The sequence below is a fragment of the Homo sapiens genome, chromosome 1 (genome assembly GCF_000001405.40).
Source record: "Homo sapiens chromosome 1, GRCh38.p14 Primary Assembly".
NCBI lineage: Eukaryota > Metazoa > Chordata > Mammalia > Primates > Hominidae > Homo > Homo sapiens.
The window spans coordinates 46,054,608-46,067,917 of record NC_000001.11 but is presented as its reverse complement, the minus strand read 5'-3'; the positions used below and the strand labels follow the sequence as shown (position 1 = coordinate 46,067,917).

Below are 13,310 nucleotides of genomic sequence, written 5' to 3'. Positions count from 1 at the left end.
GGGACTTGCAAAACATTGCTATTTTAAACTTTAGTTATAAATTATCTTTTAAGGGTCCATTTAGATATGACTCAGTAAACAAAGGTGGCCTGAACTGTCCAAGCATGAAATTACATTCATCTAATATACATAGCTCTTCAAAAGCTATACTTTGTAAAACAGTTGAATGACTTGAATCATTTACATGTTGTGATTGCCTGAACAGTCATTTCTGAGAATTATAAGCAAGTGTAAAAGACAAAATAGTATAAGGTTCTAGATTAATTATGCAGCTATAAATCATAGATTAAGGAGCTCAGTTATGTTTGTGCATTAACAACAAAACCTTGAGTATGTTGGTGATTGTGTGACAAATGTTTATCATTCCCTTCATATAGAGATGGCTTCTGCTCCCCCCACAGAGACATACAACCACATATCTTTAGGTCCTTAAGAGATTTTTTCTGTTCTTCCTGATAAAAATATTGATAGAATTTAAATTTGAAAATTCATTCAGAATATAAACAAAAATAGAATTTACTTCTGTTTTATTTTTCTTAAGTGATTTTTTTTGCTACATTTGTTCATACTGAATGCTGTGTAGATATGTTGACCTTTAATAACCAAAGTATTTTATGGACAAAACAATGCAAAATGAATTATATATATATATATATATATATATGTTCACACACAGAATAACATGCCTTTTCACTCCTTCCAGCCTCATTAACATAGTAAAACTTGTTTATCATGTGACACCAAGCTTTCACGTCTCCATATGAAAGCAGTAGTTCAGTTGAATTTGGGGGAAAAAAATCCACAGTTGTTGTCTTGTTGTTCACAGGAAGGGAGGCAATAATAAGTTAATAAAGATCTATCACCGGGATGGTAAATATGGCTTTTCTGATCCTCTGACATTTAATTCCGTGGTGGAGCTCATTAACCACTATCACCATGAATCTCTTGCTCAGTACAATCCCAAACTTGATGTGAAGCTGATGTACCCAGTGTCCAGATACCAACAGGTATGATTATGGAAATCCTTGCTAGCTATTGAGCAAGTGATTATTTAACAGCCTTATTTGATTTTATTTACCAGGCTTATCAGTTTTAAAAAACTAGCCATTTTGTTATTTATTTATTTACTTTGAGACAGGGTCTCTGTTGCCCAGGCTGGATTGCAGTGGCATGAATATGGCTCACTGCAGTCTTGACCTTCTGGGCTCAAGTGGTCCTCCTGCCTCAGCCTCCCCGGTAGCTGGGATCACAGGTGCATGCCACAACTTCAGGGTCTTGCCATGTTGCCCAGGCTAGTCTTGAACTCCTGGGCTCAAGCAGTCATCTCACTTTGACCACCCAAAGTGTTGGGATTATAGGCATGAGTCATTGCGCCTAGTGCATACTTAAGATTTTAGATATTTTTGGAACTTATTTTGTGGCTACCCTTCTGTAATATCTTATTGCATGTACTTGTTACCTTTATATAAAAATACTTATGTTTATGTCTCCCACTTCATTTCTTAATTTTTAAAGTATTAATCATTTTGATGTGACTTAAAGGCTGATCTTAATATTATCAAAGGATTTGGTACATTTGTGTGCTTGATATTAATACAGTGGCTTAAAGTTGTACAGTTGAAATATAGTTTAATAGATGGTTGAGGTGATATTTTCCTTTAAAAAATAGATGTGGAAAATCTATTTCCACATATGTCAGAATTGTTAACATTCTTTATTTTTTTCTTTACCTGTATAGGATCAGTTGGTAAAAGAAGATAATATTGATGCAGTAGGTAAAAAACTGCAAGAATACCACTCTCAGTATCAGGAGAAGAGTAAAGAGTATGATAGGCTGTATGAAGAATATACTAGAACATCCCAGGTTGGTATATTATGTTGTTTTTGACTAATATGTGTGCAATGTTTTAGTTACATCAAATTTTCGATCATTCACTTGATGATCTTTAGCTGTTTTAATGTCTTAAAGGCTTAAACAGCCTTTTTGAAACTTTAATGATATAAATTCCCCTCCCTTCTTAATTGGTTAAGGATATAATTTGTATCAGTTAATATTAACTGGTCACAAGTGACAAAATAAAACCAAAGGCTTCAGATAGAAATTTAGTTTTCTTTCATGTGTATATAGGCACTACAGGGGTGTTAGGGTAACTCCACCATCCTCAGAACTTATAGACATTTTCTGTCTTGATGCTTTGCTATCTGTGGAAGAGGGCTTACTCTAATATCAGCCATCACAACCATATTCTAGTAAACAGGAAGTAAGAATAGGAAGGAGAAAGGAAGGTTCTCTATCTTTAAGACAACTTCCTAGAAGGAGCACACTCTGCTTTCACTTTTATCCCACTGGCTAGAACTAAGTCACATGGGCATACCTAGCTACAGGTCACAGCTAGCTGTAGGGGAGGCTGAGAAATCTAGTTTTTATTTGGTCAGGTGTGTTCAGCTAATGTGGGGATTTACTGAGGAAGAAGGAGCTGATGGATGGAAATTGTGGGCTTACTAGTAGACTTAGTTAGCTACACAGTTTTTAGATCATTAACTTTAATAGCCAGTAATACTTTTCATATTTATGATATAGAGCAAAATTCTGTTGAATAATCTAGTTTCTTTCCTAGGACTTCTTAGGCCTGACTACTTTTTAGATTGTTTTTTAGCTAGACTTGGATTGGTTTAATTTGCCCTAAGTTGTTACATAGTTTGTCAAAAGTGTTTGGAATTTTGATGAAGGTGAATATCTTCAGAGAAGTTTACCTTTTATAATATTTGGGTAGAAGTGGCTTAGGAAAATGTATTTAACTGTATTTCTCATGTACATTGTCTTGGAACACAGGTTATTATTTTGAATATCAAATGATTTATAGAAGCATTAGTCTATGTTGATTCGACTTAATTCCTAGTGAATTCTTAGTGCAACAATAACTTACCTTGGGCTCTTTCTAGTAGATAACAATAATGGATTTTTTTAGTGTTTACTTTCTGTTTCATGAATTTCTGCTCTTTCTAATTTTTTTCTGCTTGCTTTCAGTTTAATTTTCTCTTTTCCTAGCTTCTTAAGGTGGAAATTTTGTTCATTGGTTTAAAAACTTTCTCTTTTCTAAAATAAGCATTTAAAGCAATACATTTTCCTTTAAGCACTGTGTATATGCATCTCACAAATTTTATCATACTGTTTTCCTTATTATTCAGTTTTTAATATTTTCTATTTTTTGTGATTTCTTCTTTTGCCCCTTGTGTTTTTAATTTCTAAATATTTGGGACTTTCAAATATTTATTTCTAATTTAAATTAGTTTTGTTGTTAGTAAATATATTCATTAAAGTTATATTCTTTTGACATTTATTGACCTAAATTTTATTTTATTATTGATATTTTTATGAGACAGAATCTTGCTCTGTCGCCCAGGCTGGAGTGAAGTGGCACCATCTCAGCTCACTGCAACCTCCGCCTCCCGGGTTCAAGCAATTCTCCTGCCTCAGCCTCCCGAATAGCTGGGATTACAGGCGTGCACCACCATGCCCGGCAAATTGTTGTATTTTTAGTAGAGACAGGGGTTCATCATGTTGGCCAGGCTGGTATCAAACTCCTGACCTCAGGTGATCCGCCCATCTCGGCCTCCCAAAGTGCTGGGATTACAGGCGTGAGCCACCGTGCCTGGCCAGCTCTTTTTTTATTTTTATTTTTTATTTTACTTACTTATTTTTTTGAGACAGAGTCTCACTCTATTGCCCAGGCTGGAGTGTAGTGGCACGATCTCGGCTCACTGTGACCTCCATCTCCCAGATTCAAGTGATTCTCTTGCCTCAGCCTCCTGAGTAGCTGGGATTACAGGCATCCACCACCATATCTGGCTAATTTTTGTATTTTTAGTAGAGATGGGATTTCGCCATGTTGGTCAGGCTGGTCTTGAACCCCTGACTTGAAGTGATCGACCCGACTCAGCCTCCCAAAGTGTTGGGATTACAGGCGTAAGCCACCGGTGCCCAGCCATAAACAACTCTTTAAGAAGCTTATCTGTGATTTGAAGAGAGTTTTGGAATAAGAATGCTTTTTTTTCAAAGTGTTGTTACCAGAGCTTGTTTATATGCTGCTAAGAAGGAACCATTAGACTGGGAGAGTTAATGATGTAAAAGGGGTTAGCTGATACGATAGAGTGAAGTACCCAGAAAGGAAGGGGAGCTGAGACCCAGAGCACATGTAAATAAAGGGAGGGGAAGGAAGAGAGGAGGTGAACAGGTAGGTTTATAGTTTTGGTGGCAGGTGTAGTGGTATAGTGGCATTGTTGATGGGGGAGGTGCTGACTTAGTAGTGATATCAAATACTTTTCCCTTTGCTGTTCTACTTACCAATATATCTACCAGTGTTAATAAAGTCTAAATTATTAGTGTTTTCTTTGAAGATCCAGGGCCAGAACTTTATAGGTAATTTCTAACTTGGCAAGGGAGCTAAAGCTCTCCACTATAATTTAAGAGTTGTAGAATTAGTACCAAGATATTTGGCATATGGGAATTCTAGTTACTTTTTAGTATTAAGATACATATGATGTAATCTTAACTGTATGGACTATCACAAGGTTCCAGCCTCCCTCATCTGCTAATCCTCTAATGTTCTAGCCCTACTGGGCAATTACTAATCCTTGAACATGCCTTGTTATTTTATGTATACATTATACCATGCCTCCTTTGTGCAGTGCTGTATTTTCTTCCTCTATCTCAGTTCTTTAAGACCTAGCTTAAGTGTCACCTCCTCTGTGAAGTCTCTGTAAAGCAATAAATAACTAGTTAATAAATAACTGGTTGCCTCTTCCATGACATGAAACCAAACCTTATTAGAGTTCAGAAATCTGTTCCACCTGTATATTCTGAGTCCTGGAGGGCAGACTTCACGTTTCACAAATCTCTATCACCAGATGGTAATTTCTGTATAGTGGATTCTCAGTAATCAATTGCCGAAAGTGACAAATGCTTAAGCTAGGTGTGTGGTGCCCCCCTAAAGTCTCAACTAGTTGGGAAGCTGAGGTGGAATGATCCCTTAAGCCCAGGATTTCAAGTCCAGCTTAGGCAACAGTTTTAAAAAAACCAATCCACCCACCCACCCACCAACCAAAACTGAAACCGAAACCGAAACCAAAGCCAAAACCAAAACCAAACACCCCAGCCTAGTAAGTGCTAGATAATGTAGGAATTATCCCATAAACATCAAAACTTCTAGAATTGTAAACATTCAGGACAGCAGTTTTTCTAGACCCTTATGCATATTTATTGCCTTTCTAAAAAGCAAACTGAACAAAATTTAACCTGAAGATTTTTGGGGAATTGTGATTCAGATGCCTTTTTGTTTTTTTGAGACAAAGTCTTGCCCTGTCGCCCAGGCTGGAGTGCAGTGGCACAATTTCAGCTCACTGCAACCTCTGCCTTCCGGGTTCAAGCAATTCTCCTGCCTCGGCCTCCTGAGTAGCTGGGATTACAGGCGCCCGCCACCACGCCTGGCTAATTTTTGTATTTTTAGTAGAGACGGGGTTTTGCCATGTTGGCCAGGCTGTCTTGAACTCCTGACCTCAAGTGATCTGCCTGCCTCGGCCTCCCAAAGTGCTGAGATCACAGGTGTAAGCCACCACGCCTGGCCTATTTTATAGTTTAAATGATGTATTTTACATACAAGTAATAGAGTAGGGGTTGAATAAAAGCTCTTGTTTTAGTCCTCCTAAACAAGGAGAAGACTTTTGAAAGACTAGGTGTTATATGGGATTACATTAATAACTGGAATTACAAAATTTGTTTAAGACCAAGGTTAGAAGAAAATAATAAAGATAATGAAGCCTGTGTTTTTTCTTTTTCTCTCCTGTAGGAAATACAGATGAAGAGGACTGCAATAGAAGCTTTTAATGAAACAATTAAAATATTTGAAGAGCAGTGTCACACACAAGAACAACATAGCAAAGAATATATTGAGCGATTTCGCAGAGAGGGGAATGAAAAGGAGATTGAACGGTAAGTCTACTTAGTACCTCCAAGGGCATCAGTGAGACAGGATTTCTTTTCTTCCCCAATAATTTCTGTCTTGTTTTCTTTTACCCCCTCAAACTGCACAGCCCTACTATTGGAACCACTTGCTGTTTCCACTAATGGCACCAAATTGAACTTCCTCTCTCCTCTGCTCTTTGTTCATTCTCCCAAACGGATAAACTCCTGCTTATCCGTTAGGACTTCAGGTTAGATATCATCTTTTCTAGAAACTGTTCCCTGATTCCGGAGACCAATTTAGGGGCTGTATTTTGGGTCCCTACAGTGCCTGGTCCTGATCCCTAGTGTAACATTTACTGAATGCCACGCCCACTCAACTGTAAACTCATTGAGAGTAGGCATGGTGGCTTATTTTCCCTGGTAGCCCTAGTACCTACTTATGTATGGGAGTACATAATGGGTGCTCATCGAATATTTTTTTGAATTGAATATCAACTTTGGCAGCAGTCTGAGAATAAATTGTAGTAGAACAAGACTGTAGGCAGGAACACCAGCCTGACTTGCACATGACTGCAACAGTTGTGGTCATCAGGTTAAACGATAATGAGGGCCTGGACTAGAGAAATAGCAGAAAAGAAGCGGGAGGTCATGGGAATGCTAAGGACTTCATGCCTGACCAGATATGGTAGGTGTGGGAGAAGTCAAAGATTATTCCTAGATTTCTGGTGTGAGAGACTGGAAGATGGTGTTTTTCACCAAAATAAGAAGTACATGAGGAGAGTTTAGGGTTGGAACCAGTGAGTTTGAGGTTCCTGTGAGAACACAAATGGAGCTCACTAGGGGGCAGGCAGCTGATTATTTGGATTTGGAACTTGGTATAGAAAGGATTTGGGAGGCATAGGTGTGTAGTTGATGGTAGATGCTAAGAATGAAATTACACAGAAAGGATGTGGCAGGAGAAGTAATGGATTTGATAACTAAAAGGATATTGAAATCCTATCAAAGCAAATTTAGTGGAGTATTGGAAGACTAAGCTAGATTATAGTGGGTTGAGTGCTAAAGTGGATAATAAATACAAGTAATTAATATGCAATGGAAAAGCAAAATTATTTCTCATATTAGGACCACAGTATTAGTGTATTTCTGTGTGCATGAGTTTAGAGCTAAGCACTGTGAGGCAGTGTAGCTTAATGGTTAAAGTGCTGTGAGACAGTGTAGCTTAATGGCATGAGTTTAGAGCTAAGTGCTGTGAGGCAGTGTAGCTTAAATGGTTAAAACTATGGGCTTGAATTCTGAATTAGCCATTTATTAGCTGTATAAACTTGGGTGAATTACTTAACTTTTCTCAGTCTGTTTTCTCTTCCATAAACTGAATAATATCTTGTTGGAATGCTAGAGAATTAAGTAATATATATCCTGGCACATGATGTGCTTTCAGTAAATGATAATTATTTATTTATTTATTTATTTGAGACGGAGTCTCTGTTGCCCAGGCTGGAGTGCAGTGGTGCCATCTTGGCTCACTGCAACCTCTGTCTCCTGGGTTCAAGCGATTCTTGTATCTCAGCCTCCTGAGTCGCTGGGATTACAGGCACCCCCCACCATGCCCGGCTAATTTTTGGTACTTTTTAGTAGAGATGGGGTTTTGCCAAATTGGCCAGGCTGGCCTTGAACTGCTGACCTCAGGTGATCCACCTGCCTTGGCCTCCCAAAGTGCTGGGATTACAGGCTTGAGCTACTGCGCCTGGCCTAATTATAATTATTATTAACGATGAAGAAACAGAAAAGGATTTGTAGTTTTGTTGCAGAGGGAAGTAAAGTAGCATGATAACGTTTTGTTTTATTTATTTATTTTTGAGACGGAGTCTCGCTCTGTCGCCCACGCTGGAGTGCAGTGGTGCGATTTCGGCTCACTGCACCCTCCGCCTCCTGGGTTCAAGTGATTATCCTGCCTCAGCCTCCCAAGTAGCTGGGATTATAGGTGCATGCCACCACACCCGGCTGATTTTTGTATTTTTAGTAGAGATAGGGTTTCATCAAGTTGGCCAGGCTGGTCCTGAGCTCCTGACCCCAGGTGATCTGCCCGCCTTGGCCTCCCAAAGTGCTGGGATTACAGGCATGAGCCACCGCGCCCAGCCTATTTTTAATTTTTTTTATTTTTTGAGGTAGGGTTTTGCTCTGTTGCCCAGGCTGGAATGAAGTGGCATGATCATGGCTCACTGCAGCCTCAACCTCCTGGGCTCACGGGATCCACTTGCCTCAGCCTCCCGAGTTGCTAGGACTACAGGCAAGTGCCACTGCATTGGCTAATTTTTAAAAATCTTTTTGTAGAGATGGGGTCCTGAACTCCTGGACTCAAGCAATCCTCCCCGCTCAGCTTCCCAAAGTGCTGGGATTACAGGTGTGTGTCCAGCATATGAAGTTTTAATAGTAATATAAAGCCACATATTGAGTGACAAGGGAATAATGTAGACAGTCATTACCATAAGGGTTCAGAGTATAGCAAAACGTTGTGTGTTGGAAAAGCTTATAGCTGTCATCTGTTGCGTGCTTACCAAGATAATGTCAGGGAATGTTTTTGTCCTTTACATGTATTGTCACATTTAATTAACAGAAAAACCCAGTGAAGTAAGTACTGTTGTAGGTACCCATTTGTATTAGTCCATTTTCATGCTGCTGATAAAGACATACCTGAGACTGGGGTAGTTTACAGAAAGAAGAGATTTAATTGGACTTACAGTTCCACGTGACTAGGGAAGCCTCACAATCATGGTGGAAGGGAAGGAAGAGCAAATCACGTCTTACATGGATGGCAGCAGGCAAAGAGAGAATGAGGAAGATGCAAAAGCAGAAATCCCTGATAAAACCATCAGATCTCGTGAAACTTACTCACTACAATGAGAACAGTAGTGGGGAAACCGCCTCCATGATTCAGTTGTTTCACCTTGGTCCCTCCCACAGCATGTGGGAATTATGGGAGTACAATTCAAGAGGAGATTCGGGTGGGGACACAGCCAAACCATATTATTCTGCCCCTGGCCCCTCCCAAATCCTTTATCTTTACATTTCAGAACCAATCATGCATTCCCAACAGTCCCCCAAAGTCTTAACTCATTTCAGCATTAACTCAAAAGTCCACAGTCCAAAGTCTCATCTGAGACAAGGCAAGTCTCTTCTGCCTATAAGCCTGTAAAATCAAAAGCAAGCTAGTTATTTCCTAGATACAGTGGGGGTACAGACATTGGGTAAATACACCTGTTCCAAATGGAAGAAATTGGCCAGAACAAAGGGGCTACAGGGTCCATGCAAGTCTGAAATCCAGCAGGACAGTCAAATCTTAAAGCTCCAAAATGGTCTCCTTTGACTCCATGTCTCACATCCAGGACATGCTGACGCAAGAGATGGGTTCCCATGGTCTGGGGCAGCTCCGCCCCTGTGGCTTTGCAGGGTACAGCCTCCCTCCTGGCTGCTTTCACAGGGTGGCCTTGAGTGTCTGCGGCTTTTCCAGGCACACGGTGTAAGCTGTCAATGAATCTACAATTCTGGGGTCTGGAGGACAGTGGCCTTCTTCTCACAGTGCCACTAGGCGGTGCCCCAGTAGGAACTCTGTGTGGCGGCTTCGACCCCGCATTTCCCTTCCACACTGCCCCAGCAGAGGTTCTCCATGAGAGCCCCGCCCCTGCAGCAAACTTCTGCCTGGGCATCCAGGTGTTTCCATACGTCTGAAATCTAGGTGGAGGTTCCCAATTCTTGACTTCTGTGCACCTGCAGGCTCAATGCCACATGGAAGCTGCCAAGACTTGGGGCTTGTACCATCTGAATCCATGGCCTGAGCCCTATGTTGGCCCCTTTCAGCCATGGCTGGAGTGGCTAGGACGCAGGGCACCAAGTCTCTAGGCTGCACACAGCTCAGGGACCCTGGGCCCAGCTCACGAAACTCCTTTTTCCTCTAGGCCTCCAGGGCTTGATGGGAGGGGCTGCCTTGAAGACCTCTGACATGCCCTGAAGACATTTCCCCCATTGTCTTGGGGATTAACTTTTGGCTTTTTGTTACTTATGCAAATTTCTGCAGCCGGCTTGAATTTCTCCTCAGAAAATGGAATTTTATTTTCTATTGCATTGTCAGGCTGCAAATTTTTCAAACTTTTATGCTGTTTCTCTTTTAAAACTGAATGCTTTTAAGAGCACCCACGTCACCTCTTGAATGCTTTGCTGCTTAGAAATTTCTTCCGCCAGATATCCTAAATCATCTCCCTCAAGTTCAAAGTTCCACAAATCTCTAGGGCAGGGGCAAAATGCTATCAATCTCTTTGCTAAAACGTAACAAGAGTCACCTTTGCTCCAGTTCACAACAAGTTCCTCATCTCCATCTGAGACCACCTCAGCCTGGACCTTATTGTCCATATGACTATCAGCATTTTGGGCAAAGCCATTCAACACTAGGAAGTTCCAAACTTTCCCACATTTTCCTGTCTTCTTCTGAGCCCTCCAAACTGTTCCAACCTCTGCCTGTTACCCAGTTTTAAGGTCACTTCCCCATTTTCGGGTATCTTTTCAGCAGTGCCCCATTCTACTAGTACTAATTTACTAAATTAGTCCGTTTTCATGCTGCTGATAAGGAAATACCCAAGACAGGGCAATTTACAAAAGGAAGAGGCTTAATTAGGCTTACAGTTCCACGTGGCTTGGGAAGCCTCACAATCATGGTGGAAGGCAAGGAGAGGAGCAAGTCCCGTCTTACATGGATGGCAGCAGGCAAAGAGAGAATGAGGAAGATGCAAAAGCAGAAACCCCTGATAAAACCATCAGATCTTGTGAGACCTATTCACTACCACGAGAACAGTATGGGGGAACCGCCCCCATGATTCAGTTATCTATTCCCGGGTCCTTCCTACAACATGTGGGAATTATGGGAGTACAATTCAAGATGAGATTTGGGTGAGGGCACAGCCAAACCATATCACCATTTTAAACAGATGAGGAAATGAAGGCACTGAGAAGTTAAATAACTTGCCCATGGCCCCACAGCAAGTGACAGCAGAGATTCAGATGTAGGTAGGCTAATTGCAAAACCATTGTTCTTAACTGTTGTGTTATGCTACCTCTGGAATATCAAATGTATAGCTTTACTTGTTCAGTCATTGCTGGATTCAGGGCCCAAACAAGGTTATTGGGATTCTCTCTCATGTTGTATTTTGGCTCAGTTTTTCTCTGGGTTGATTTTATCCTCAGGCAGGCATTGCCGGTGAAGTGACAGTATAGCTGCTGGGATGAGAACTGCATATTCATAATTTAGCAATTTGTGTGGAAAGAGAGAATTTATTTTAACAATACAGTTCTAGCAAATGTTCTAGAATTGACTCTCATTGGGTCAGTTTGAGTTTTATTCCTATTCCTGAACCGTCACTGTGGCCTGAGGGTAGGGATGGGATAGAGTGGAATATTCTTATTGGCCAGTCTGGGCCATGTGTGTTTCCATCCCTGGATCTGAGACGGGGGAATGAATCCTTACCTCCAGGGAACATCAGGGTGCTAATACCAGAAATGGGAATGGATATGGGCCAGGCAAAAACAAATGTTCACCACGCTTAAGATATTAGGACCTCACTGGGTGCAATGGCTCACGCCTGTAATCCCAGTACTTTGGGAGACTGAGGCAGGCAGATCACCTGAGGTTAGAAGTTTGAGACCAGCCTGGTCAACATGGCAAAACCCCATCTCTACTAAAAATACAAAAATTAGCCGGGTGTGGTGGCATGCGCCTGTAATCCCAGCTACTGGGGAGGCTGAGGCAGGAGAATTGCTTGAACCCGGGAGGCGGAGGTTGCAGTGAGCCGAGATCATGCCACTACACTCCAGCCTGGGTGACAGAGCGAGACTCAATCTCAAGGGAAAAAAAAAAAGGATATTAGGACCGTGCTCACCCAGTAGGATCTGTCTGCTTGATTTCTATTTTAGCCTTAACATGTCAAATATTTTTACAGAATTATGATGAATTATGATAAATTGAAATCACGTCTGGGTGAGATTCATGATAGCAAAATGCGTCTAGAGCAGGATTTGAAGAATCAAGCTTTGGACAACCGAGAAATAGATAAAAAAATGAATAGCATCAAACCTGACCTGATCCAGCTGCGAAAGATCCGAGATCAACACCTTGTGTAAGTAGTCTGGGAGTGTATGGGGAGGGAGACGTTAGTGCCAGGTTACTACCAGCACTAGAGACACTAGAGGTGGAAGAAGAGATTAGAGATTTGTAATTGAGAATTGGCCAGTAAGATGGTAAGAATTTAGGAAAGTGTCCTTGGTAGTTGTAGGGGGTACCAGAGTTAATCTGAAGTTAATATGTGGAGCAAACCAGAATGTAGGACTCTTGATCCATACAAATGCCTTGGAAATCTCAGAGGCTGGCTGTGGCATGAGTAAAATGCTATATCTTAACAAGAACAGATTAATGTTTGCCTAAAACATAAAAATCAGAATCTTTGTTTACATACTAGAACTGAGTGGGGAATTTCTATTTCCTCTGAGGGGAAGTAGGTTCTAGGCTGGGCACTGTGGCTTACGCCTGTAACCCCAGCACTTTGGGAGGCCGAGGTAGGCAGATCATCTGAGGTCCGGAGTTCGAGACACCAGCCTGGCCAACATAGTGAAACTCCGTTTCTACTAAAAATACAAAATTAGCTGGGCGTGGTGGCACATTCTTGTAATCCCAGCTACTCAGGAGGCTGAGGCAGGAGAATCACTTGAACCCTGGAGGCGGAGGTTGCAGTGAGCCGAGATCACGCCACTGCACTCCATGCCTGGGTGACAGAGTGAGACTCCATCTGGGAAAAAAAAAAAAAAAAAGATGGTGAAACCCTGTCTGTACTAAAAATACAAAAAATTAGCTGGGCATAGTGGTGGGCGCCTGTAATCCCAGCTACTTGGGAGGCTGAGGTAGGAGAATCGCTTGAACCTGGGAGGCAGAGGTTGCAGTGAGCCGAGATCGTGCCACTGCACTCCAGCCTGGGCAACAGAGTGAGTCTCAAAAACAACAACAAAAACAAAATGACATTCTTTATTTAAATAACAGAAATGTATCTATAGAAGGCACTTGAGGTAATTTGAGTAGTGAAACCTAATTCTTTAGTATGAGGGAAAACTATATAATTTAGCCAAATATAGGCATAATAGAGATAATATACAAATATAAATGGAAAGATAGTATCAGAATAAAATGTGTGAATTATATTTTTAGAAACATAAATAACTGCTTCATAGGACAGAATGCATGAGAAAGGAAGATCCTGGATATTGGGCTTAGTTCTGGGTAACGAATAGACTGTTTTGAAATGCATCTATGGGT

At 41.1% G+C, this 13,310-nt stretch overlaps 2 protein-coding genes across 13 annotated transcripts in view, besides 2 other annotated features; both read left to right on the top strand.

Moving 5' to 3' along the window:
• P3R3URF-PIK3R3 (P3R3URF-PIK3R3 readthrough) overlaps window positions 1-13,310 on the top strand; it is a 136,349-nt gene that overhangs the window by 108,571 nt on the left and 14,468 nt on the right. The window contains exons 4-7 of the mRNA NM_001303427.2: window positions 827-1,007; window positions 1,739-1,864; window positions 5,847-5,989; window positions 11,947-12,123. Of these exons, the coding sequence (NP_001290356.1) occupies window positions 827-1,007; window positions 1,739-1,864; window positions 5,847-5,989; window positions 11,947-12,123 (627 nt within the window). The remainder of the gene's footprint in view (window positions 1-826; window positions 1,008-1,738; window positions 1,865-5,846; window positions 5,990-11,946; window positions 12,124-13,310) is intronic.
• PIK3R3 (phosphoinositide-3-kinase regulatory subunit 3) overlaps window positions 1-13,310 on the top strand; it is a 134,762-nt gene that overhangs the window by 106,984 nt on the left and 14,468 nt on the right. For 10 of the 12 annotated variants that reach the window (NM_001328648.1, NM_001328649.1, NM_001114172.1 and 7 more), the window contains 4 exons: window positions 827-1,007; window positions 1,739-1,864; window positions 5,847-5,989; window positions 11,947-12,123. In NM_001328648.1, coding sequence (NP_001315577.1) covers window positions 827-1,007; window positions 1,739-1,864; window positions 5,847-5,989; window positions 11,947-12,123 — 627 coding nt within the window. The remainder of the gene's footprint in view (window positions 1-826; window positions 1,008-1,738; window positions 1,865-5,846; window positions 5,990-11,946; window positions 12,124-13,310) is intronic. The other 2 variants (NR_137329.2, NM_001303429.2) reach the window with 2 other exon arrangements.
• Window positions 2,275-2,324: an enhancer, noted in NCBI's record as "active region_990". NCBI's record gives its function as "activates an Ori minimal core promoter by ATAC-STARR-seq in GM12878 lymphoblastoid cells {active_cell/tissue: GM12878}" and the evidence as "EXISTENCE:reporter gene assay evidence [ECO:0000049][PMID:35858748]".
• Window positions 4,677-5,876: an enhancer, noted in NCBI's record as "MED14-independent group 3 enhancer chr1:46527714-46528913 (GRCh37/hg19 assembly coordinates)". NCBI's record gives its function as "activates an origin of replication core promoter dependent on BRD2, BRD4, P300/CBP and CDK7 cofactors, and independent of MED14, by STARR-seq in HCT116 cells {active_cell/tissue: HCT116}" and the evidence as "EXISTENCE:reporter gene assay evidence [ECO:0000049][PMID:35650434]".